The sequence below is a fragment of the Homo sapiens genome, chromosome 2 (genome assembly GCF_000001405.40).
Source record: "Homo sapiens chromosome 2, GRCh38.p14 Primary Assembly".
Lineage (NCBI taxonomy): Eukaryota > Metazoa > Chordata > Mammalia > Primates > Hominidae > Homo > Homo sapiens.
In genome coordinates, this window is record NC_000002.12 from 168,841,360 (window position 1) to 168,868,191 (window position 26,832).

Below are 26,832 nucleotides of genomic sequence, written 5' to 3' on the forward strand. Positions count from 1 at the left end.
ATTACTTGTCTGGGCATTTTGAGAGTCAGTTTCAGCTACCCTGGCCCAGGGAGTTTTATATTACTGTACACTGATTTTCCAGAAGATTTAGTAATCAGAATGACAAATTTTGGTGATGGGCAAGAGGGGGGCTCTTTGTAAGGGAGCAGATCATTGGGGAGCAGGATGAGAGGAAACCATCTTATCAAGCTGTCCATAACTTGCAGTGAACATTGGGCATGTATCTCAGGCTTTTCACTGGCAATAATTACACTCGCTAAATTTTGAGTGCTATGCCAGGTGTTGGGCAGTGTGCCATTTGCCTTATCTGTGTTACCTATGTCAGGGCCAAGGGAAATCTTCCCTTTTGCCCCTGAAGTTTGGCTGAAAATCACTGACAAGAGACAGATGAATAGGAGAAAAGGCATACAAATGTATTTGATCATAGTTTTATGTGACATGGGAGCCTTCAGAACGAAGTTCCAAATATACAGGGGAACTTGTCTATGTTTATGCTTAGGTTTAACAAAATACGGACATCCATGTACAAATATTATGTACAAAAGGGGTGTAATCTAATGCTAATAGACTGTGTGGGGAAACCCAGTAAGGCTGTCTTTCTGGAGTCTTCTTGGCCTCTCTGTGCAGCCTTCCTTCCTGCTGGGAATGGGGCAGGATCCTCTCTGGAATAGGGGTCTTATGATCTACAGTCAGACAAGGTAGGTCAGATAATTTCTTTATGGACAGTTTTTACACAGAAAGGCAGGGGAAAGTGAGACTAATATTTTTAGATTTTATGGCTGGCTTTGGAGAAAAGAGGTTCTGGTTTCTGTGACCTTCTTTGGGGAAGAGGGATTCTGGTTTCTACCAATAGCCTCAGGGGAGAATGGGAGTGAGAGACAGGAGGGCAGAAGAAGGTCAGAGAGAAACTTTTACTTCTGAGGCTGCTTCTGAGGCCTTGATTTTGTGGTATTGTTTTCTGAGTCCCAAGATGTGCCTGAATTCTCAAAGCAACCCGGTATGTATTAATTACCTATCCCCATCACAGAGATGAGAAAACTGTGGCTCAGTAAGGTTAAGTAACTTGTTTGCAGCTAGGACCAGGACTCTTATCCTGGAAGTTTGATTCCAAAGCTCTACTTCTGGGTTTATATAGTAAAAGTAAAATAATATCGCTAGATAGGACAGTAGCCAGACTCATTCTAAAAATTAGTTCTAAAAATTGTATGATTCCACAAGTCTCTACCTAACCTGGTAAGAAGTGCAGGAGCCCAAAAGATTTACCAGATAAGACTATGGGATTCATTGGCCAATTGCAATCTTGACCTGTACTGTCAATTCTCAAAAGCTGTGTTGTTTGACCTTCTCCTTGACTGTGTGAGTGTAGACAAATCACTTCCTATTTAAGGGTCTCAATCTCCTCATGTGTAAAATTGGGGGAATCATACTGGAAGGCCCTTGGGTTTCCTTTAGGTTTGGCCATGCCTTTTTTTCTTATAAAGATCTTTCATTTTGTCAACTATAGTCACTGTTTATGACTCTACGTGAGAGGTGAGAAACATATCATTGAGCCACATATAATTATTACTATGGAATTACAAAGGGCTTTCAAAAATGTGTTAGTAAATGTGTGACATTGATGTTTTACATTAGCTCCTCAATAAACTGACAAAATCAACTGAAAAGTTGGAAAAGGAAGATGAAAATTACTACCAAAAAAACATGGCGGGTTATTCTACCAGACTGAAATGGGAAAACACACTAGAGAACTGCTACCAGGTAAGTTATATATTCACATTTTTTTCTTCTTCTGTGGAGCTTTGTGTGACCTTGAAGATGGAGGTCAGATTACAGTGACAAGACCTGCCCTCTGTCTTAGCTATGAGCATCACACATATTGTGACTTCAGACAAACCACATTTCCTCTCATTGTTTCAGTTTCTCCATGGATACAATTACCAGTGACAATTTATTGAATTTCACTGGCCAGAGTTTCTGCTCCTAATTCTTAGTGGACAGGATAGCACCCAGCTAACTTCAAAAAGTGCTGTCAAAGTGAAGCGTAAATTAAGGCTTAAGTGTTAGGTGCTTCAAAATTAGTTTTAGGCATGAGTGATGACTCATACAGTGATCGCTTATGGAGGTCAGGCATCGTGTTAGGCACTGGAGATACAGAGCATTGAATAAAGTAACATCTCAATGCTTGAGATGTGTACATCTCAGTGGCAAAAGTAGACACATAAAGAAGGAATTGTGGCAAATTATCTGATAATAATGGGCAAAATATGTCAGCAAGCACATCACAAAAGGAGAAATCAAAATCATCGATAAGCCTATGAAACAATGCTAGATTATTTGGCAAAAATTAGAACTTGACAATATCAAGTGTTGGTAAGGATGTTAGGAAACAAGAATTATTGTACCCCTGTAGGGGGAATAATTTAATGATATTTAGTGAAACTAAAATAAGCATGTACTTACTGCAGCAGTTCCCTTTTTAGGCATATATCCTACAGAAAAATGTACATTTGTACTCCAAGAGTGATGCACAAGAATGTTTATGGGAGAATTGTTTATAATTGCATGTGAGAAAAAACTGTACGCAATCTTCATATCCATCAAGAGAAGAATTACTCTTCAAATATGCTCGCATTTGGAAAGTGAACTAATATCCATCAATGAAAAGTTAATTAAAACTATATTTAAACATGAATTAACCTCGAAAAACATGATGTTGAGGAAAAGAAATATACCACTTACACAATCTGTGTAAATCAACATTCTTTTAAACTCATGCGCAAACTATACTGAGTTTATATGTGTGTGTTTGTAAACTTATACATGGGGACTGTCCCTGTGTTCAGTGACAGAAATGGAGCCCATGGTGGGAATACAACAGAACTGCCAGAAACAGCCACGCAGCTTATGCACGGCCCCTGGTGAAGCAGTACAACCCCAGGCTCTACATAAATATGACCAAATTAAATAACTATCAATTCTGGAGAGTAAGAACATGAATATTTTGGTTTTATTTTTCCCCACCTGTTTTAAGTTTAAAAAAAAAATGTTTAAAGCAGATACAATTGGAGAAAGCCATGATCTGATGGCCAGCCTGGAACAAGTACTTGGTGCTCAGTGCTCCTCTTTTAGGCTGTGCTAAGCACATTCATGTGTTTCTGTTTTGTATTAATCATGACATTATGAGAACATTGAGGCTGGAAAGATGAAGCAATGAGCCTGAGATGGTTTAAGATTCAGCCTGGGCGGCACGCCTGTAATCCCAGCACTTTGGGAGGCAGAGGCGGGCGGATCAAGAGGTCAGGAGATCGAGACCATCCTGGCTAACACGGCGAAACCCCGTCTCTACTAAAAATAGAAAAAATTAGCCGCGCGTGGTGGCGGGCGCCTGTTGTCCCAGCTACTCGGGAGGCTGAGGCAGGAGAATGGCGTGAACCCGGGAGGCAGAGCTTGCAGTGAGCCGAGATCATGCCACTGCACACTAGCCTAGGCGACAGAGCAAGACTCCGTCTCAAAAAGAAAAAAAAAAAAAGATTCAGCCTGGACCTCTGCATTATGCTCCTGCCCCATTGAAAACTGGGAGAGCAAAGGCTATATGGCAGGCGGAAACCCAACGGCTGCATTTACATCTCTTGCAATTCAACCACTCAGAGCAGGATAGATGCAGAATTAGAGAAGAAAGGGGAAATTAAAGGAGAGATGAAAACTTGGGTCAAAGAGGGGAACAAATGAGAAAAAATTCCTTAATTTACACCTTTGAACATAAGCTCCGGGTACTCTCTTGGTTTATGCTAGATAGATTTTAGATGAAGGTGATGAGAAAAGGTCAGGGATTTAAATTCTAACTTGATTCATTTGAAATCTGGCTCTGCAACCTGGGCTCTGATCTTGCCTCACCTCACCTCATCACTTCCTGATGAAGCCGTGGTCTTTCCACTGAGGTCAGCTTCCTTGGATGGCCCTGTTAGGAGATGGGAGAGACATTTCTGCTCCCACTCCATCTTCCAGGCACCCACCCTTCAAGGGCTATGAGAAAAATATTTCACCTCAGTGTCTCTATCCTCATCACCCTTCTACCTACATCGCAGCAATGGGAGATAAATGGGTCCTACCTGGTGTAGCTGATAACTAGCTTGCCTTCTTCAATATATGTTAGGGAAGGCTATGATTATCTTCATTATCAGAAGCTCTTGCTACGCCTCTCCTTCATCTCAGTTTCCTTTCCTCCTGTTAAGATCCTCTACATGTTTCCCCTACAACCACCACTCCCCCTTCTCAGCATTCCCAGTGTTTATGTTGAAGCATCATGGAAATTATCTCTTTTCTTACAGTCTTCCTGATGGTAACAAGGTATACATTCATTTACATTTCAAAAGGCATCTTTCAACTTCAGCTCTAAAAATATTTAAGACCTAGTTTTAGTTTTTTTCTTCCTTTTTTTTTTTTTTTTTGTTAGAATCCAAGTCACATGGAATATCTACTCATCATAATGTCCTTGAGGAAGAGCATTTTCTTTCTCCCCTCTTGTATCCTGGATTTTTGCTACCTCTATGCTGGAGGCCACCAGTGTTTCAGTCCGTGTCCTTTTTAGTTCATACAGCTTCTCCTACCCCACCTTCCTCTGAGTTCTCTCCTGCCTCCTGAGAGCCATCTCAAGCCCATTAGCCACAACGTGAGACGACTTCTGTCCAGTCACTCTTGCTTCACTTGAACCCTCAATAATGATGCCCTTAGTTGGTATTTCCTGGGCTTGTGTATACTCAGTCTATACCAGAAGGTCATTGACTCACATATTACTCTATGTATGCCATATTTTGTGTATGTTTATGGCACTCAAGTGTCAAATGTTAGATTCATGAAGACATATAACAAAAACAGCCTGAATTGACTCAAAGAGGAATTTTATTATAAGTGTGAGAGATGGAAATGGGACAGTTAGGGTCTCTCAGTTTCATTTTTTCTCCATTCTTTCACCATTCTTCTGTACAAATTGAATATAAAAATTCATTTTAGGGTCCTACGAAGTGTTCTCTTATTCCTTTTTACTCTACAGGTTGGATGTACAAATTCCTTCAGAGAACATGCATTGAACTACATTCAAGGCAGTGTAGTAGATACTGTGAGAAATATTGTAAAGCCTCAAATGTGACTATAAGTAATGAAACCAATTCCACAAACCACATGTCAAAATTAGTCTTATTACTTCACAATCATACTGTATTCTAGCCACATCCCACCCTCCAAGAAGAAACACTTCAGATGATAGAAATAACCTATATTTTTCACAATAATAACCATACTACCAAGAATTACAAAGAATCAAATGCTTGGTACTGAAGTACTTACTCAAGGAATTATTTTTAAAAGCCATCTGCAATATGTGTCAAGAGCCTTAAAAATATTCCCTTTCTCAACCAGTGTTCCTCCTCTAAATCCCAGAACACAGAAAATGATTCGAGTGGCTGCTTTCTCAGTTCTCCCAAGGATGGCACTTGAGTAGTCCCACTCTAGATGAGACGAATGACAACTCATTACATAAAATGGACGCCTCAGGACAGTAGGGCTTCATTCTTTCCTAGGACTCTGTTGAAAAAGGTAATTTCCTTTCTATAAAAGTGTCTTGAGGAAGTAGCTGACAAACCAGACACAGATTTCTATTTGAAACATGTTAAAGGCAGCAAACATCCCAAATGTCCAACATTAAAGGGATGACTAAGTGAATAAACACGCCTGCACCATGGATGCTTATGAAATAATTAAAGTGGTATTTTCAGAGACTAATGGCACGGGAAACTGTTCACATGTACGGTTAAGTGGAAAAAACAGAATTTCAAATTTGAATAATTTGATAGATAACTAGAAGATAAAATCATACATATACACATACCTAGACTGAAATATATCAATATGTTAATAGCAGTCACTTCTGGGTGGAAGAATTATGATTTTAAAATGTATTTTTTGTGGGCCTCTGTGGCCCTAGGACAATGTCTCAAAGCGCCTGGGGTGCTTAAAAGTCAGATTCCTGATCACCTCCCTAGACCTGGGAGCCTCTGAATCAATCAGAGCCTCTGAATGATTATAAAGAGGGGTCTAGATATTCTAAAGTTTGAGAGTCCCTGCTCTAGAAAGAGCATATTTCTTTTATCAGTTCTATGAGAGTCATTTAAATGAAAACAAAATCCCTTTGACTTCTTCCTGTAGTACCAGCCCAAAGGCTAGGACAGCAAGAACTGGAAGGAACGAATGAAGAACAAATTGTCATGATGCTTGGGCCCCAGACAGGCTCTAAATCTGCTGAAATCTGAATCTTTCTGGATAACTCCTTGACCACACTTTGTTCATATATACTATTGTGGAACCTCAAGAGGACAGTTTGAGGTCCTCCAGAGTATCTTGCTTCTCTACCACCTATTTTATATAAAAAGAACAAGATAATAAAAAGCAAAAAATCATTAGATATGGATCTCTCCTTTGCACAGTGGAATTTATTTCCTCCTCTTCTTATGAGCAAACATAGATCATTTTAATGATTTCCCTGAAATGTAATTAAAATCTGTTAAGCATTACCATGTCACTAAGGAACACTGGTTATTCTAGTCTCAGATTGATGCTAGTGGTTCAGCACTTGTCAAAGTAAAGAAACACCTGCCCACTAGGGATGCAATATGTTCTAAAACCTGGCTTTTATTTTCTCTTCTCTCTTGCTCATAGGCTAAAACAGAAGAGCTGATTTCTAGATCTTTTTCTATAGGGTAAGGACTTCTTCTTTTTGAAGATTGTCACATAGGAGATCCAAACAACTGAGCAGAATTTGTTTTACGTATTTGTTATGAGGCATATCGATTCTGCCTTTTAAGAAGCAAAACATTTGATAGGCTATTCTGTGTCTTTAATCCTTTATCTGGGAGACAGAAGGGCAGACGGCCACATTCAAATGACTGGTGCCTGCAATTTTGTGAAAGCCTCAGGGGACTGCCAGCGTAAACCAATCCATTTGACTCCCATTGACATATGAAAATTGGGCAGCTTCAGAGGCAACTAAGAAGATTGCCATGGGGGCGTGGCTCCAGGCTTCCAATCCAAATGTCAGGACACTTGATACAAAAGCTAAAGTTGCATGTGATTGGCACAGATGTTCATAGTTACTGCCTGAGCCTTTTACTACTTTCATTTGCAAGCAGTGTTCAAATGACTATATACCAAAAAACAAAATGTGGTATATGCATACCATGGAATATTATTCAGCCAAAAAGGAAGGGAATTCTGGCACATGCTACAACATGGATGAACCTTGCAGACATTATGCTAAGTGAAATAGCCAGATGCAAAAGAACAAGTAGTGTATGATTCCTCTTGTAAGAGGTATCAAGAGTAGTTAAATTTGTAGAGACAGAAAGTAGAATGGTGGTTGCCAGGGGATGCAGAGCGTAGGAAATGAGAAGTCGTTGTTTCATGGGTACGGTTTACTTTTGCAAGATGAAAAAAGTTTTAGAGATGAATTATGGTGGTGTTTGCATAATAATGTGAATGCACTTAATGACACTGAAATGGATGCCTAAGGTGGATAAAATGGCATGTCATATTATGTAAATTTTACCATAATTAAAAGTATAAAGAAATTTAAAATAATTTTAATCACCATATACCATAGATGAATTAACAACACAGGGATATAGAGGAATACCATACTGAATCAGGCCAATGGGCTCCTGTAGGAATTTCAAGAGGTGAGCAAGGAGAACCCAGTGATCTTTGTGACTCTCCATTCTCACCTCTCTTGCACTGCCAAGGGCCTTGAGACATACCCATCTTTCTTCTTCCCTATGGTCGTGTTACCCACCAACTTCTCCAAAGCCTTGTTCATGAAAGATGATTGCTGGTGCTCTTTGTGGGATGCAGGAGTTGGGATGGTGGGTATGAGAGCAACTGAGCTGGACTTCCCTGGATAAAAGGATGAATGCCCAGGCCTTGTATTTTTTCTTTCTTTCTTTCTCTTTCTTCTTTTCTTTTTTTTGAGATGGAATCTCACTCTTTTGCACAGGCTGGAGTGCAGTGGCATGATCTCAGCTCACTGCAACCACCACCTCCCAGGTCCAAGCGATTCTCCTGCCTCAGCCTCCTGAGTAGCTGGGACGACAGGCGCCCGCCACCAGGCCTGGCTAATTTTTGTATTTTTAGTAGAGACGGGGTTTTGCCACGTTGGGCAGGCTGGCCTTGAACTCCTGACCTCAGGTAGTTCACCCGTCTCGGCCTCCCAAAATGCTGGGATTATAGGCATGAGCCACCGCACCTAGCCAGGCCTTGTTTTTACAAAAAAAAAAAAAAAAAAAGATGGGAAGAATTTTGTCTTGGACACCTGCCATCTCCATCAAAGCCCAAAGTCCCCTGGGCACATACCCAGCAGCCTTACACTGCCCCCACATGGCCTTGGAGTCTCCCTGAATACTCTGCCTGAGCCAGCCTTCTCTAAGAATGCTTAGTTGCTAAAGCTTTCTGCCCCCTGTAAAACCACCAGTCAGCAACTCAGTTGGCATGGGTCCAATAAGTAACATTTTCTCATTTTTTTTTTTTTTTTGAGACAGTTTCACTTTTGTCACCCAGGCTGGAGTGCAGTAGCATGATCTCGGCTCACTGCAAACTTCACCTCCTGGGTTCAGGCAATTCTGCCTCAACCTCCTGAGTAGCTGGGATTACAGGCGTGTGCCACCATGCCTGGCTAATTTTTGTATTTTTAGTAGAGATAAGGTTTCACCATGTTGGCTGGGCTGGTCTCAAACTCCTGACCTCAGGTGATCCTCCCACCCTGGCCTCCCAACGTGCTGGGATTATAGGCATGAGCCACTGTGCCCGGCCTCTAAAATGTTAATAGCTAACAAAGCAAATGTGATTCCCCTCACTTTCTTATTTACCCTTCCTACCTAAAAGTCATAAGTCTAATAATGAAACTTCTGTCATCTCACACAAAATAAAGAGGCTATGTGTCTACCTGCAAACAGCGGACTCTGACTCCCAGGCCTAATTTTAGGCAGAATTATAAATTGGTCAGACTTTGGGATTCTTCTCTTGTCAAATAACCTCCTTAAACAGAGAATTTGTGGCCTGTCATTCTCTTCCCTGCAGACTAGCAGAACGCCTTGAATGTACTATAAACAATTCTAAAACTATTGGGTGTCTCAATGCATTTCCAAGACATGGATATGGGCTTTCCTGGGCTTCACCCTCTGGAATTCTTCCCAATTTTTTTTTTTTTTTTTTTGTAAAAACAAGGCCTGGCTAGGCGCGGTGGCTCATGCCTGTAATCCTAGCACTTTGGGAGGCCAAGACAGGTGGACCATCTGAGGTCAGGAGTTCAAGGCCAGCCTGCCCAACATGGTGAAACCCCATCTCTACTGAAATTCTCTGGAATTCTCTGGAATCCATGATTGTGTCTCAAATGCTTCCTTTTCTTCTTTTCTCCCCCTTCCTCATAAACTTAGGTAACCCACAGCATCTGCCTATATGCCTTTTGGGTCAAAAGAGCCTGGGGAAAGTGTGTGAGTGATTTAAGATACCAAGACACATTCCTTCCTGGAAATCTCCCTCCACTATGGTTTGGATATGACATAGTCAAGAGGCTAATCATGAGACTTTGTTCAGTCTGTCTTCAGGTGTGTCAGTGTTTGATGAGTGACTTCCATTTTGCATAACAACTGGCTGATCTTACCCCAATTTTCATTCTTTTCAGAGCATTCTGGAGCTGGAGAAGGAAAGAATTCAACTTTTATGCAATAACTTAAACCAGTACAGCCAACATATTTCTCTTTTTGGCCAAACCCTGACCACAGTGAGTAGAGATGATCTCTCCATTTCTGGTATGCCTGGTAAGAAGGGGCAGAAACCTTTCTTCGACAACCTTATTCTGTTCCCCTTGGCATTGCAGTGCCACACGCAGATTCACTGTGCCATCAGCAAGATTGACATTGAAAAAGATATCCAGGCTGTAATGGAAGAAACTGCAATTTTATCTACAGAAAACAAATCTGAGTTCCTGTTAACGGATTACTTTGTGAGTATGAAATGGAAAAAAAAAGTTACATTAATGGAGAATCTTAGGTACTGAGGGACTTACATTGAAAAAATTGAAAGCAAATATCATGTTTTATCAATGAAAATGATTTCTCATACCCCATATAAATTTAAAAAACCCAGCATTCTAGTTTACAAACTGTACAATGGAAACATGTCTTTGGTATTTTCTAGAAGTAAAGAAAGTCAAGCAGGGTTTTAAACAGAATCTTCATATTCGGTCTTCTATAAAAGTAGTGCCAGGCAGACATGTTTCAATGACCTATAATTAATCACTGTATATCACGTGGTGCTTAAATTGGTTGTCTGCACAAATTGCTGTGCAACAAATTACCGCTCCCCACCCCCACCAAAATAATGGCTTAAAACAAACATGTATTATCTCATAGTTTATGTGGGTCAGGAATTCAGTTGTGTCTTAGCCAGGTGTCTCTGAACCCCTCCCAAGGCTGCAATCAAGGTATCAGGTTGGGCTGCAGACATCTCCAGGCTCTTCCTCCAGAAGACTCACTTCCAAGCTGACTCACAGGGCTGTTGGCAGGCCTCCAGTCCTCGCTGCTGTTGGTTGGAGATATCATTTTCTTGCCATGTGGGTCTCTCCATGTCTCAGCCTACTCCCCGCAAAATGAGTGATCAAGACAGACAGAGCCAGAGTGCCCAAGAAATTATAATCTCTTGTAAGCTAATCTCAGAAGTGACATCTCATCATATTCTATTTGCTAGAAGCAAGTCAGTAAGTGCAGCCCATACTCAAAGGTGGGTGTGAGGGAAGATCACCCAAAGGCATGGGTTCTAGGAAGTGGGAGTCACTATCAGTATTTTTCATGGTCCCTTCTCTTGAAAACCTTGGACCAGATTATCGGAGGCTTATTTTGAGGGTACTTGAGTGATTCTACTGTGGGTGTTTTTGCTGAAAACTGGTCAGTGTCCCTGGTGAGAGCCCAAGCACGTTGCCCCTTTGCTATATTGGGGCAAATTATTTGTCCTTCTGGGTCAAGCCTCAAAGATTTTGGCCTCTGCTCCCCTCTTGATATTCTTAATTGTAGTGTTCTAGGAACTGATTATTAATTACCAAAACCTGCAGAAAGAATTCTGATAGCGTTTCCCTGGGTCCTCTGCCATATTTTATTCAGGATTTCAAGCTCCAGATTAGGGGTGTCACTCTTCTCCGATATGGAGAACAAGCCCACTGGTCATGTCCTCCATAGGATTAGAAGTACAGCCAAAGCTGACCTCCCTGGACCTCTGATCAGGCAACAAGACGGTAGAAGGCAGAGGTGGTTAGATCAGGCACTGCAGTAAACCCTGATTGGCTTTCCCTTTCCCCACCCTTCAGACAGCAGCAAATGACCAGCTATTTTTTACTGAGTCTTTTTTTTCCTACCTTGGCAAAGGAGAAGTATATTAGCAATATCAATGTCTGTTCAATGCAGAAACAAGGTAGAAATGGAAGTGGAAATGATTTGATTACATGGGGAAAGCGCTTTTTTTCTTTCAAATAATGTAGGCAGGGCCTGAGATGGAAAAATGTACAATAAAATAAATCTATTTTCTTACAAAGAATAATAAAAATGCCCCTATCAAATAACTTGTCAATAAAATGAGGATTATTCTTGAAAATTTGACTAGGGTTCTACCAAAGTGTAAGGAGGCAGCCATGATGACTTCTCATTTATTGGCATGTTCAGGGAAATTTTTGGTTTCTATAAAACTTCACTGTGTCAGAACTCACAACCATGAATCTGTTGTCTAAGAGAAAGGACTGTGTCTCAAAATGAGTGAATAGTATTTTCTTGACATCTTTAAGGCAAAGCACCCCAATGTCTGACTTTATAGTCATTGTCAATAAGTGTAGGCTGGTTTTTATCCAGTGTTATGAAATTTACATGGACCAGGGACAACAAAGAGACCAATCTGAGTGCAAAACTTGGAGGGCTTGGTGACCTGGTGAAAATATTTGTAAGGTTACCATAAATGCCATGTTCAAAAGATTGTTATCTGTAATTTTATACGCCTCCTCCAGTACTGACCTTCTTTCTAACAAATCTTTAGAAGAGAAGGACAAATGTTAAGAGTTAAATGATGGCAATATACCCCATCCTGAAATTGACCCAGGAGCAATCTATCCCTGGAAATACATGTTTAAACAATAGATGTCCCCAGACAAACCAAGGGAAGCCTTGGACTGGTATGGGAGCTATGTTATGACTTGCATTCCTTCAACAGGGAAGGACTAATGGTTTTAGTTAGGTGTCTTAGCAGTTTAGTCAGAGTTTACTTGGGGGTGTGATGTCAGCTTGCGCCTCAGCTGTGGGATGACATGTGAAGGAGTGGTAGAGCATTTGGGGTCAACTTGGGCCTTCTTTTATCTGTGTCACAGGTAAAATGAGGAAAATAAAACCAACCATTGAGTTGTAGGAGTTGCATGTAATAAATAATATAAAGAAATATTTATTTATTTGAGACGGAGTCTCGCTCTGTGGCCCAGGCTGGAGTGTAGTGGCACAATGTCAGCTCACTGCAACCTCTGCCTCCCGGGTCCAAGTGATTCTCCTGCCCCAGCCTCCCAAGTAGCTGTGATTACAGGTGCACACCACCACGCCCGGCTAATTTTTTGTATTTTTAGTAGACAGAGGGTTTCACCATGTTGGCCAGGCTGGTCTCGAACTCCTGACCTCAAGTGATCCACCCACCTTGGCCTCCCAAAGTGCTGGGATTACAGGTGGGAACCACCACACCTGGCCCAGAATATAAAGACACTTTTGTAATGTGCAATGAAAAATATGTAAATAAAATATTTTTATCTGTATATGTTTTTATAGAGGCTATTCCCTTTGCTCTAAATCCTCACACTTCTTGTTTGTGAAGCTCCATCTAAAGGTAATCTCTCAGCCGGGATCCTAATTTTTCTCCTTCCTTATCAGCGAAGCCTGCATCCTCCCCTCCCACCTTGAGTCATTAGTTTCCCGTCTTTCTCCATGGGTTTCTGTCCCTCTGCCACTCATGTTTAGCAACCTCCTCACTCCAACTCTACCATCCTATTCTTTTTTATTCAATCCTTGAAATAATGCATGTGAAAGCTCAGATATCATGAATGATTCCTCATAGCCTATGTGATAAAATTCCTACATCAGCCCTAAAATCTAGCCTCAACTCCCTGAACAATTTTTTCTTCCCCTATTTTTTTGCTCATGCAACAGGTGTCTTTATTGTTCCTGACACATTTCCCACAGTCCTCCCCCAGCCCTTTGCTCCCGCCATTTTTCCTGCCTGGAGTGCCCTTTGCCATCTTTCCTTGACTAGACAGTTACGTCTTCTTGCCTCCTCGAAGCTGTCAGCTGCCTGCACTCGTGGTGTCTGTAGCATTCGTGAATGCATGTGGTCTTGTATTGCTAGTTTCTTTAATGTTATGCTTCAAGGCCTAACTAAATCATAAACCCATTCTGGAAAGAGCATATGTGTTTTAGCTCACATCTTCCCAGTACTGAGCCAACACAGAACTCAGTCAAAATGTCTTCCACTCCTGAGGCAGTCATAGCCTGAAACACATACATGATATTACATTTGGGCCATTAAAGGACTCTAACTTGAACAAAAGTAAATAAGGAAGCAGTAAGTATACAACAAATAGATTTATCAAGAAAATGAAATAGCTATAGCAAGGGTCCATCCTCAAAGAACAATCTGCTCTATTAAAAAGTGCTCGGCCATGTGACTTAAAAGTTGTGAACAAGACAATATTTTCTTATTCATCAGGTCTCGAACAGGTAGAACAATGTGTGTAAAACTAAAGATTATCCTGCTTAAAAATTTTGTTTTATTTTATAAAGTTAAAATTAAATGCAGCCAGTGGAAGTATCAGAATGGACAGGGAATAGCAACTCTTACTTCTTCCCCCTTGTTAGACATCCTTCTTTTTTCCTAAAGGAAGAAGATCCTAACAGTGCAATGGATAAAGAGAGACGAAAGTCTTTACTAAAACCAAAATTATTGAGACTGCAGAGAGACATTGAAAAAGCCTCAAAAGACAAGGAAGGTGTGTAACCATCTCTTTGAATGGCCAGAAAAGGGACCATATGATGCTCAGAGGTTTCATTCAGAGTTAGGATTGATCTGCTTTTGCTATTTGGCAGGGGTCTTCTCATTTAAAGAACCATATATCAAACTTCAGTTGTGTGAACAAAAAAAAAAAAAGTAGAAGAAAAAAGAAAGCCAAAAAAAAAAAAAAAAGGAAAATCACATTTTGGTCTATTTATGAAACCTATATAAGTATTATACTACTATTTTCAGAAATGTAGCATTTTAACTGTGTTTCTGAAATTGGCTAGAATGAGAGATAATGTGTTTGGTTTAAAACATGGTCAACCAACTGTGCATGAGAGTTTTGGATGAGTTTTTTGGTTTGTTTCTTTTGACTTTTGAAACAATGTAAAAACCTTTCAAATTAAATTCTGTACGTAGAAGTTAGGCATGTCAGACTGTGAAGCAGCTCTAAAGCAACAAGGATGACAAAAACGACTCCACATTTGTGACTCTGATGTCTACCTAGTAACTTGTTTTATATGGACCACGATAACTCATTGCAATGGAATACTAGAGAGCAAATTCAAGATAGAAAACATTTAGTGATGTGAATACCATAACGAGGAAGAAGCCAACGTTGGGTAACTGTTAGCAATTGCTAGAATGGGTCGACTGAAAGAATTTCAAAATCTCATCTGGAAAAATAACAATCAAGATGCTTTAAGCACCAGCACTTCTCAAATTTCATTAAGTGAAGAGAAAGGTAAACAGTTCATTTATCATTCAGTCAAATTTATTAAGAACTACCTGCAGAGACTCCCTCAGCCATTTAAGAAACCCTACTGGTGGCTGGGTGCTGTGGCTCACGCCTATAATCCTAACACTTTGGGAAGCCAAGGCGGGTGGATCACAAGGTCAGGCGCTGGAGACCAGTTTGGCCAACATGATGAAACTGTGTCTCTACTAAAAATACGAAAATTAGCCGGACATGGTGGCATACACCTGTAATCCCAGCTACTCAAGAGGCTGAGGGAGGAGAATTGTTTGAACTTGGGAGGCAGAGGTTGCAGTGAGCCGAGATCGCGCCACTGCACTCCAGCCTGGGTGACAGAGCAAGACTCCGTCTTAAAAAAAAAAATCTCACTGGTATCACTTCTAGGCTCCCTTTGAGAGCGACCGACTCCTGGCTGTGTCCCACTGAGACAGTGTGAAAGGTGACTGAGAACATGATTTCATTTTCAGGCCTGGAACGAATGCTTAAAACGTACTCCAGCACCTCCTCCTTCTCTGATGCAAAGAGCCAGAAAGACACAGCAGCGTTAATGGATGAGGTAAATGTTTGCCGAGTGCATTTCCTAGATGTAGTGATGAAAAGGGTTATTTTTAGAATACTTGTTTCTGGTCCACTTGGCCTTGTTTGCCTTTCCTTTCTCATGACATAGAACAATCTAGTGGGGGAGCTTATAGGGTCAGCTTCATAAGTCATTTGAGGGATCTGGAAAAATACAACTACCTAGAAATGTTTGCTTTGGTGTCCTAGGAAAAGAATTGTGTCTAAAATAGTATTCTCCAAACAGAGTCGTTCTTTAAGGGCCTAGAAACCATGTGCACTTTAACCCAGTTAAGAAAAGCGACAGGAAACAAAGGATCTGCATTCAGAAAGGCCTGTATTTAGATTTAGCTCTGCTGTTTACAGGGACCTGGGTCAACTTTAGTTTTCTCATCCGCAAAATGGGGATATTGGTACTTTACCTCATGGGGCTTTTGTGAGGGTGAAATATTATTTAGTAAATACCAGCACAATGCTCACAGGAGGAGCTCAAAAACTAGTAATTTTTATTAAGGTGGTATTTTCCATTCATCCCTCTGCTGATCTCAGGGTTATCGGAGAATAACAGGGGAAAGGAAAGACGTGGTTGCAGAGGGAATAGGGCAGTCTGGTGTGTGAGGCAAAATCTGGGGAAACCAGGAGCAACTTTGAGGGCAAAGTTCTTTAAGGGTGGGAATTGGGGTGGGGAGATGGTAGAAGAGGCAGGGAGGTGGGCCTCCTGGCCTTTGTGCTGAGTGTGTGAACTCTAGCCCCATAGACATTCGTGGGGATTGATGGACATTTTGGCCACTTCAGAGGAAGGGAAAGGGATAGTTAACAAAAAGCTGATGAATTTTACACAGGAATAAAAATGAACAGATATATAGCACCAGTGTGCAACATATGGGTTTCTGCTGTGATTAGAGATCATGAGTGGACTGGGGTTAATCTGAGAATCATTTAAGGAGATAAATTTTTTAGCAATGTTTTGAAGGTACAGGAATCTGGGCGTTTTGTTTTTCTTGCTTATAGCCTAACTTTCTTGTGAAGGTAGGTACTTGATAATTGTACCCAGATTGGCAATTTCAATAGTTCTTTGGTGAAAGAAGACAGATGCAGTGAGGTATCGCTGACCTAGTTTTTAGATAGGCTTTCTTGAGTAAGGTGCTGTTGCAGAAACAAGCCTAACACTTCTTGTAAAAGAAAATAGCCTGCATTGTGTGCACTGGGTAACAGAGGTCTAACATACCTGCAATGACCCGTGGCTACAGTTTTTATGAAATTATAAAACAGACTGTAGGACATTTTCTGTGACCGCACAAGCTGTTTAGTTAACTACTGATGCCATTGGGTTATACATCTATTCCTTTGGCTGTCCTTGCACAGAATTTTGTCATTGTCATTACCAGCATACATGTATTAGGATCATCTGGGTCCTCTCACCTGAAGCACACAGTGGAGGACACAAGGAGGGAGAGCATCTGACCTTGGAACTTCCAATGTTTATGATCTGGTGAAGGAGCAACTATGAACCTTTAAGTGAGGAATGCCAAATATCCACATGATTTCATTACGCATGCTCTGCATCTGGGTAGACAGAAACTAGTGATACTGGTAGATTTTGTGTCACCCACGGAAGGTTTCTAGGATGAGGAAACTTTTATTTACATTCTTCCTTATTTCATTATATCTTGGTCCTTGAAGTGCCATGTTTGAATCAAGAATGTTCACAAGCAGTGTCATAAGAAAAATTGTTGAGAAAACTGGAGGCACTTAGATTAAATACTGTCTTTAGAGACCAGAAAGAGGGCCACATAGAAGAAGAACTAGATGTGCTCTATGAGACTATCAAGTGAAGGTCTAATGGTAGAAAGCATGGGGGAGCTTTTAGTTTTGTCTTAGGTAAGCCTGCCCCACAATGCAGTGGATTCCTCCAACGATTAGAGACTTTCTCCATCAATTGGATGTCTTCTGTCCATGGCTGTGACACCCTGGCAGGGATATTAGGGTTGGGAATTCCCATGCTGGAGGTGTGGGGGAGAGAGGGATAATGGTGAGGAGGGGGCTGGATAAGCAAGACCCTTCCAATGCTTAGATTCTGTTATTTAATTCACCCTGGCTGGACCCAGCCTGACAAGGTAATTATAAAGTTTCTAGTTCAAGGTCATATCAAGAACAGACAGAGACTAGGAGTGTATCTTTAGCTTGACTTATTATGTTTATACTCAAATGCCCTAAAATATTGTTCCCAGTTTCCAGAAGTATTCCTGTAAACTTTGTGGGTAATATAAGACCTCACCTTATCAAAGAACAAACAAACCTCACATTCAATTTCATTTGCGTCTATTGATGTTAATTCAATTCTGTTCACAATATTTAGCACTGATGGCTCACCTTCTTCGCAGACCACCAAAAATCTACCTTCTACAATCAACACTTATCCCCTTTCTTGTCCCTCAGCAGAAAATTGAGTAAAACCTCTTCATTGCCATAAAATACTAATATATTACCAAGGTTTCCTGTTCACCCCCAGAGTACAGAATGAGACACACTCAACAACTAAAACCTCCCTCTAAACTGCTTAAAGAGTTTATTCCTCCATTTTTTTTTCCTTCGGCATTTTCTGTGAATATCTGTATGAGTTAAATGCGTACTTTTCTAACCTTTGTTATTTTGAAAGTTATTCTGATATTCCTATCCAGTTGTGCCTCATTTACTAGAAATTTGCTCACATGGCCAAATGATGTATCCACAGAACAATTTGAAACTAGACCTTTTGGAAGCGAACTCCTACAAACTGTCATCAATGTTAGCAGAACTTGAGCAAAGACCTCAACCCAGCCATCCTTGTAGTAATTCCATCTTCAGGTGGAGGGAAAAGGTAACATTTAAGGAGACTGGTTGTAATTTCTTGATTGGGCCTGCTGGGTGGAGTGGCTTAAAGTAGCATCAGGGCAAAAAAGGTGTTAGGAATTCTATGTGATATTAATATTCATGCAGTTAGTTAAGAAGATAAATGTTTTTATTTTTCTTTTGAGCACAATAACAAGAGCTAGACAAAACCGAATACATTCTGTGTACACCAAACTTCTATGAGAAGCTAAAAAACACTTTTGATTTCTTCTTTCTCATCATACCTGAATTTCATCCTTTGGATGTGCTTTTACAGTAAAATTTCTATTAAATTGAAATTTTAATATTCGTTCAGACCTAAATTATAAGATTTTGTGGTATGTATTAGTCTCATCTGTTTAAGATGGTGCCTAATGCAGATAATGCATCAGTACAGCTCTGAAATGCTTGTAGCTATTTTTATTACTGATCAGAAGGGGGAACTGTAATCATCTTGTGAAGGGACAGTTTTCTAAGGCTCAAGAGCTCGAAAACAATCTCAATCATTTACAGGGTTGTGATCATTTCACTTGCATTAAGCCAACTAAAGTTGTATTTGTAAAAGTAATGCTATGAATATTACTATTTGACCTAGACACATAGGTTAGAATTGGAAACACAGGCTATAAAGTATAGTAATTGTGTAATTGTGAAAATATTAAGGCTTCAACTCAAAACTGAAACACAGTAGGGCTTAGAAATCTTTGAATTATTTATACCCCTCAGTTTAAAAACTTCCAGTCCAGGCGCAGTGGCTCATGCCTGTAATCCCAGAACTTTGGGAGGCCAAGGCAGGCGGATCACCTGAGGTCAGGAGTTCGAGAGCAGCCTGGCTGACACGGTGAAACCCCGTCTCTACTAAGAATACAAAAATTAGCCAGGCATGGTGGTGGGCACCTGTAATCCCAGCTACGGGGGAGGCTGAGGCAGGAGAATCACTTGAACCCGGGAGGTGGAGGTTGTAGTGGGCCAAGATCATGCCACTGCACTCCAGCCTGGGTGACAGGGCAAGACTCTGTCTAAAAAAAAAAAAGAAAAAACAAACAGAAAAAACAACTTGAGGAAAACAGCTACAGAAGAGTTAATTTTCATGAATGTTTATGATAATCGTGTTACAAAATATGACTTTTTATGTCATTTGAACAGGAGCATACTCATAGCTATGTGAAAATATCTCGGCCTTTTTTAATGAAGAGATTAGAGAATATTGTGAGCAAGGCATCTTCTGGTGGGCAGAGCAATCCAGGTTCTTCAACTCCAGGTAATCCCATGCCCACAATCATTTTGGCCTGGGTCCTACTGGCAGGGCACATTGCTACATTTAAATTTTAGTTTCAGAGCCACTTTGACCTGTATCTGTTTAAGGAAATTTATATTTCCATTGGGACCGATTAATTTGTTAGACTCTGTAGCTTTATGTAAAAATGGGAAAAAGTTAAGAAGAGTAGAGGGTTGGGAAAGTATCCTATGAGAAGTTGCCTCAGATATCAGATGACTGGCATCCACCTTATTCAAATGGCCTGTTATTTGCCATAAACATAATCACACCTAAACCATCGTGAGGAGCTTTGTCGCTCTGTCTCCATAGCCTCCTCCAAACTCCCATAAGAAGCCTGTCCTCTCTGCGAGACACATGGTGATCCAGGTGGTTTGCCAGGGCTTGGACTCATGGCCTACAAACTCCTGTTAGCAGCCATCTGACTTCAGTCATTCATGCACCCACACACCACACTGCTCTTCATCTTTCAGCACACACACACGTGTCACTGTACCTGCATGTTCAAGTATAATTACCATAATCTTGACTATCTAGTTTTTTAAATTAGAAATTGGTTTAAAAAAAAAAAAAAGAACTTCAGTAAAACCAGGACATTATGGTTCACACAATATATTAAGGAGTCACTGTTGCATTGTTTGAGAAACAGTTCCATACACAGCTAGGGATGATGATAACATGCACATGCCCCAAATATCCCGTATTTATACCTGAATGGCAAAACTGGTGAATGTTTTCCAAAACATGCATGCAATTACTATTATTATACAATGATGTTTTTCTCTAGACTTGCTATTTCATGTATTATAATATAGTTTTTGGTTATATAACATATGCAGTCCATACATATAGAAAGTGCATCATAAGTGGTTATTGAATCAAGGAATGAACATTATATAAAATTACAAACTTTCCTTTTGAGAAAAATTTAATATATTGAAACTCTGCATCACACTGTTAAATAACCAAAGAGCTTCAGCTCATATTCATTTGCCTGCTAACACAGCATACTAATTACAGCTTTATCTATTTCAGCCCCTGGTGCAGCCCAGCTCAGCAGCAGACTTTGCAAGGCCTTGTATTCTTTTCAAGCCAGGCAAGATGATGAGTTGAATTTGGAAAAGGGTAAGAATCATTCTCAAATATTTTAATTGCCTTCCCATATTGAGATTCTTAGCATGAATAAAACCCTGTCTTAGTGTGGCAGCCTTAAGAGTTACTACCATGTCAAATCAGTTCACCCTTCTTGAAAGATAAGCACATCTAAAACAAAAGCTCGCATAATGATAATAGCTAACGCTTATTCTGTTTACTGTGTGTCAGACATTGTTGCAGGCCTATTGTCCAATTTAATATTCATGAAACCCTTGGAGGGTTTTATTGGTATTCCCATTTCATAGCAGAGGAGACTGATACACAGGAAGGTTAGGTGCTTTGGCTAATGTCACAGGCTGTGGCAACACAAGATTTGAACTTGGAAACACAGTCATGCTCCTAATCACAGTGCACACTAGGGTAGAATGTCAGTGATGGAAAGTGATTAGAGATGTACCCCACCTTTTTATTTTTTAGAAGCTAGACATTCAGGAATGTGAAGTGACCTCCTCTCTCAACTTAGTGTAAGTAAGTGCAAATTCTAGAACCTAGGTCAGCTGACTCCCAGCTTAGTGCTGGTCTCACTTACTTCTCAGAAAAGCTTTTTACAGCCAGTCTAAAGAGTGAGATCCCCTTCTTTGTGTCACAGAGTTTTACTTAACATGGAAAGGTATTACGTAGTGGCTTTATAATGTAAACCACAACATTATTAAAGAAGAAAGTCTCCAGCCTCAACCTTCTTTATGTGTCCAGTTAGAAACCATGTTTGAATGTTAGCGCTAATGCAGAGATCTGGAAACGGAAGGGTTAGTGAGAAAGAGTAACGTTATGGGAGAAAGAATATTATCCACGACAAGGACATGGCTCCCAGAGCCAATGGAAAATCAAGATACATTTTGTAGCCAAACGACAGGGACACCACACATTTGCTATTTATTGGGTGTTTCCTTTGCAGCATTTGCCAGTCATATCTCTCCAGGCAATTACTTTTCTTCCTATGTGAATAAAAGACAGACATACTTCCCAGATGCCACCTAGAACCCATGGATGCAGCATTTAAGTTACATCATTCACAATAAATTGATTATCTTGTTTTCAGTTCTCTGTTGGTTGCAAAGCCTACTTATACTTTATATTCTAAGCAGTTTCTTTAAATGAAACACGACGTTGGAGCCTTAGGGAAGCTGGCAATACAATTTGAAATCATTATTTGTTTGAATTCTTGTTAATAGATTATGTCAATTTACTGACGAGGGAGAACTTAGAGACCGAGAATAATGTCCTTTAAGAATAGTGATTTATGACTAAGAAAATGTAGAAAAGATAGAAAAGGAGTTAATAATTTCCTTTGTCTTAGAAAGAAAGTTGCTGAGGAAAAGAGTGAAAGGAAGACTGAAAAATCACCTCAGAATGATGCCAAATAAAAAGTAGCTCTTGGATCCTGACGGGGGCAGATGATCCTGAAGGGGGCAGATCTTTCTACTTTTATGACAAGAGCCATGTTTCTTGTCCAATTCTCTATGGAATTCTCTTTATTTGAATCATTGCTTTAAAAAATATTGTCTCCAAATTGATGTTGTATTAAAGTTGTCTAAGTTGTTGAATGGGGAGTTACATTTTGAATGGGGAGTTACATTTCTGTGCAAAGCTGTGAGTGAGTTAAACTTTTGGCCTGTGAAATCAGGGATAATGCAGAGACATTGTCTTGATCTTAAGAAAAGACTGTTGGTGAGACATACTTATAGCAGCCAACACGCCAAACAATCAAAAACACCAGCATGTGAAACCCTCAAAGTACGGACACCAAGAAAGAGTTTGGTGACAATCCATCAGCTACATAGAAATAGAAAGTGAGCCAGGCAGCATAAGGATATATGATCCAACGTGATCTTTTTTTATTTTTTTTTTTGAGGCAGAGTCTTGCTCTGTCACCCAGGCTGCAGTACAGTGGTGTGATCTTAGCTCACTGCAACCTCCGTCTCCTGGATTCAAGTGATTCTCCTGCCTCAGTCTCCCAAGCTCACTGCAACCTCCGTCTCCTGGATTCAAGTGATTCTCCTGCCTCAGTCTCCCAAATAGCTGGGACTACAGGCGTGTGCCACCATGCCTGGCTAATTTTTGTATTTTTAGTAGAGACGGGGTTTCACCATGTTGGCCAGGCTGGTCTCAACCTCTTGACCTCAAGTAATCTGCCTAATCTGCCCATCGCGGCCTCCCAACGTGCTGGGATTACAGCTGTCAGCCACCGTGCCTGGCTGTGATCCTGTTTTTTTTTTTCTGAGACAGAGTCTTGCCCTGTTGCTGTTGCCCAGGCTAGAGTGCAGTGGCATGATCTCAGCTCACTGCAACCTCTGCCTCCCGGGTTCAAGGATTCTCCTGCCTCAGCCTCCTGAGTAGCTGGTATTACAGGCGTGCGCCACCACACCCAGCTAATTTTTGTATTTTTAGCAGAGAAGGGGTTTCACCATGTTGGTCAGGCTGGTCTCGAAACTCCTGACCTTGTGATCCACCCACCTTGGCCTCCCAAAGTGCTGGGATTACAGGCGTCACCCACCACGCCCAGCCAATCCTGTCTTTAAGCAATTATTTTATGATATATCTCAGTTGTTCATTATCTTACTCTTTTTAGTATCCTCTGGATTATGCCTGCTTTATACACAGGTGTTCGATACATTTGGCTTCATCTGAATCAAGTGCAGAAAATGACACTACCAAGTAAATCCTTGAAGCAGAACCTCCTTAAAACTCTTATCAATCGGGCTGAGGCATGTGTTCACATCACAGAGACCCATTTGTCTAACTGTATTTTCACAGGTGACATTGTGATTATACACGAGAAAAAAGAAGGAGGATGGTGGTTTGGATCTTTGAATGGGAAAAAAGGCCATTTTCCTGCCGCTTATGTGGAGGAGTTACCTTCAAATGCTGGCAACACAGCTACAAAGGCATAAAACAAGACTCTGAACATACTACCTTCACACTCGGTAATCAACAATACAGTGTGGTTCAAATAAGAATAAAGTGCTCTTACCTTTACATGTTTTTCTTTTGAAATGGATGGAGTTCTACCTGCATGTCACAGCACTTTGCATTCATGATTATTAGCTTGAAACAGTCAGAAAAAAGATGGATGGGTGGAGACAGACAAGGAAGAGGCTCCTTGGTTCCTAGAGGAGTTTCCAAATTCTAGGAGACCCTAGAGATGATCCAGTATAACCCCTGGTGTCACAGAAACAGACGGAGTCCAAGGTGGGTTCAGCTGCTTGCCTGAAGTCAGAGTTATCTGGTAGACAACAGCAGTGGGACTTAGATGTCTTTTTCCTCTGGATTTGGGTGGCAACAGAACACAGCAGGCCTATGAGGGGGTCAAGCAGAGCCTGGGAGATGAGGAACACAGATCAATTCCAAGAAGAGAGACAGGCAATCAAGACACCAATGAGATCAACCCAAATTAGGGGATGGTAGGATATCTCTGACAAACCCACAGCCAATATCATACTGAATGGACAAAAACTGGAAGCATTCCCTTTGAAAACTGGCACAAGACAGGAATGTCCTCTCACCACTCCTATTCAACATAGTGTTAGAAGTTCTGGCCAGGGCAATCAGGCAGGAGAAGGAAATAAAGGGCATTCAATTAGGAAAAGAGGAAGTCAAATTGTCCCTGTTTGCAGATGACATGATTGTATATCTAGAAAACCCCACTGTCTCAGCCCAAAATCTCCTTAAGCTGATAAGCAACTTCAGCAAAGTCTCAAGATACAAAATCAATGTGCAAACATCACAAGCATTCTTATATACACCAATAACAGACAAACAGAGAGCCAAATCATGAGTGAACTCCCATTCACAATTGCTTCAAAGAGAATAAAATACCTAGGAATCCAACTTACAAGGGATGTGAAGGACCTCTTCAAGGAGAACTACAAACCACTGCTCAATGAAATAAAAGAGGACACAAAGAAATGGAAGAACATTCCATGCTCATGGGTAGGAAGAATCAACATTGTGAAAATGGCCATATTGCCCAAGGTAATTTATAGATTCAATGCCATCCCCATCAAGCTACCAATGACTTTCTTCACAAAATTGGAAAAAACTACTTTAAAGTTCATATGGAACCAAAAAAGAGCCCACATTGCCAAGTCAATCCTAAGCCAAAAGAACAAAGCCAGAGGCATCACGCTACCTGACTTCAAACTATCCTACAAGGCTACAGTAACCAAAACAGCATGGTACTGGTACCAAAACGGAGATAGATATAGACCAATGGAACAGAACAGAGCCCTCAGAAATAATCCCGCATATCTACAACTATCTGATCTTTGACAAACCTGACAAAAACAAGCAATGGGGAAAGGATTCCCTATTTAATAAATGGTGCTGGGAAAACTGGCTAGCCATATGTAGAAAGCTGAAACTGGATCCCTTCCTTACACCTTATACAAAAATTAATTCAAGATGGATTAAAGACTTACATGTCAGACCTAAAACCATAAAAACCCTAGAAGAAAACCTAGGCAATACCATTCAGGACATAGGCATGGGCAAGGATTTCATGTCTAAAACACCAAAAGCAATGGCAACAAAAGCCAAAATTGACAAATGGGATCTAATTAAACTAAAGAGCTTCTGCACAGCAAAAGAAACCACCATCAAAGTGAACAGGCAACCTACAGAATGGGAGAAAATTTTTGCCACCTACCATCTGACAAAGGGCTAATATCCAGAATCTACAACGAACTCAAACAAATTTACAAGAAAAAAACAACCACATCAAAAAGTGGGCGAAGGATATGAACAGACACTTGTCAAAAGAAGACATTTATGCAGCCAAAAAACACATGAAAAAATGCTCATCATCACTGGCCATCAGAGAAATGCAAATCAAAACCACAATGAGATACCATCTCACACCAGTTAGAACGGCAATCATTAAAAAGTCAGGAAACAACCCAGGTGCTGGAGAGGATGTGGAGAAATAGGAACACTTTTACACTGTTGGTGGGACTGTAAACTAGTTCAACCATTGTGGAAGTCGGTGTGGCGATTCCTCAGGGATCTAGAACTAGAAATACCATTTGACCCAGCCATCCCATTACTGAGTATATACCCAAAGGATTATAAATCATGCTGCTATAAAGACACATGCACATGTATGTTTATTGCAGCACTATTCACAATAGCAAAGACTTGGAACCAACCCAAATGTCCAACAATGATAGACTAGATTAAGAAAATGTGGCATACACTGCAAAAACATGCCAAAATGTAAAGGCCATCAAGGCTAGGAAGAAACTGCATCAACTAACGAGCAAAATAACCAGCTAACATCATAATGACAGGACCAAATTCACACATGACAATATTAACTTTAAATGTAAATGGGCTAAATGCTCCAATTAAAAGGCACAGACTGGCAAATTGGATAAAGAGTCAAGACCCATCAGTGTGCTGTATTCAGGAAACCCATCTCACATGCAGAAACACACATAGGCTCAAAATAAAGGGATGGAGGAAGATCTACCAAGCAAATGGAAAACAAAAAAAGGCAAGGATTGCAATCCTAGTCTCGAATAAAACAGACTTTAAAACAACAAAGATCAAAAGAGACAAAGAAGGCCATTACATAATGGTAAAGGGATCAATTCAACAAGAAGAACTAACTATCCTAAATATATATGCACCCAATACAGGAGCACCCAGATTCATAAAGCAAGTCCACAATAATAATGGGAGACTTTAACACCCCACTGTCAACATTAGACAGATCAACGAGACAGAAAGTTAACAAGGATATCCAGGAATTGAACTCAGCTCTGCACCAAGCAGACCTAATAGACATCTACAGAACTCTCCACCCCAAATCAACAGAATATACATTTTTTTCAGCACCACACCACACCTATTCCAAAATTGACCACATACTTGGAAGTAAAGCACTCCTCAGCAAATGTAAAAGAACAGAAATTATAACAAACTGTCTCTCAGACCACAGTGCAACCAAACTAGAACGCAGGATTAAGAAACTCACTCAAAACCACTCAACTACATGGAAACTGAACAACCTGCTCCTGAATGACTACTGGGTACATAACGAAATGAAGGCAGAAATAAAGATGTTCTTTGTAACCAATGAGAACAAAGACACAACATACCAGAATCTCTGGGA

At 40.5% G+C, this 26,832-nt stretch overlaps 2 protein-coding genes across 15 annotated transcripts in view; one reads left to right on the forward strand and one right to left on the reverse strand.

The window, feature by feature from the left end:
* Positions 1 to 24,155, forward strand: part of NOSTRIN (nitric oxide synthase trafficking) — a 78,976-nt gene extending 54,821 nt beyond the window's left edge. For 4 of the 14 annotated variants that reach the window (NM_001039724.4, XM_024452662.2, NM_001171632.2 and 1 more), the window contains 9 exons: positions 1,633 to 1,758; positions 9,725 to 9,823; positions 9,920 to 10,045; positions 13,993 to 14,101; positions 15,331 to 15,419; positions 18,153 to 18,278; positions 19,436 to 19,550; positions 20,601 to 20,690; positions 23,475 to 24,155. In NM_001039724.4, the coding sequence (NP_001034813.2) occupies positions 1,633 to 1,758; positions 9,725 to 9,823; positions 9,920 to 10,045; positions 13,993 to 14,101; positions 15,331 to 15,419; positions 18,153 to 18,278; positions 19,436 to 19,550; positions 20,601 to 20,690; positions 23,475 to 23,611 (1,017 nt within the window). In that variant the 3' untranslated portion in view covers positions 23,612 to 24,155. Of the gene's footprint in view, positions 1 to 1,632; positions 1,759 to 5,483; positions 5,593 to 9,476; positions 9,648 to 9,724; positions 9,824 to 9,919; positions 10,046 to 13,992; positions 14,102 to 14,526; positions 14,852 to 15,247; positions 15,420 to 18,152; positions 18,279 to 19,435; positions 19,551 to 20,600; positions 20,691 to 22,017; positions 22,265 to 23,474 lie in introns of those variants that run through there. The other 10 variants (NM_001171631.2, XM_005246270.2, XM_017003279.2 and 7 more) reach the window with 8 other exon arrangements.
* Positions 20,162 to 26,832, reverse strand: part of SPC25 (SPC25 component of NDC80 kinetochore complex) — a 28,910-nt gene continuing 22,239 nt past the window's right edge. The window contains exon 7 of the mRNA XM_011511516.3: positions 20,162 to 24,037. Within this exon, the coding sequence (XP_011509818.1) occupies positions 24,027 to 24,037 (11 nt within the window). The 3' untranslated portion in view covers positions 20,162 to 24,026. The remainder of the gene's footprint in view (positions 24,038 to 26,832) is intronic.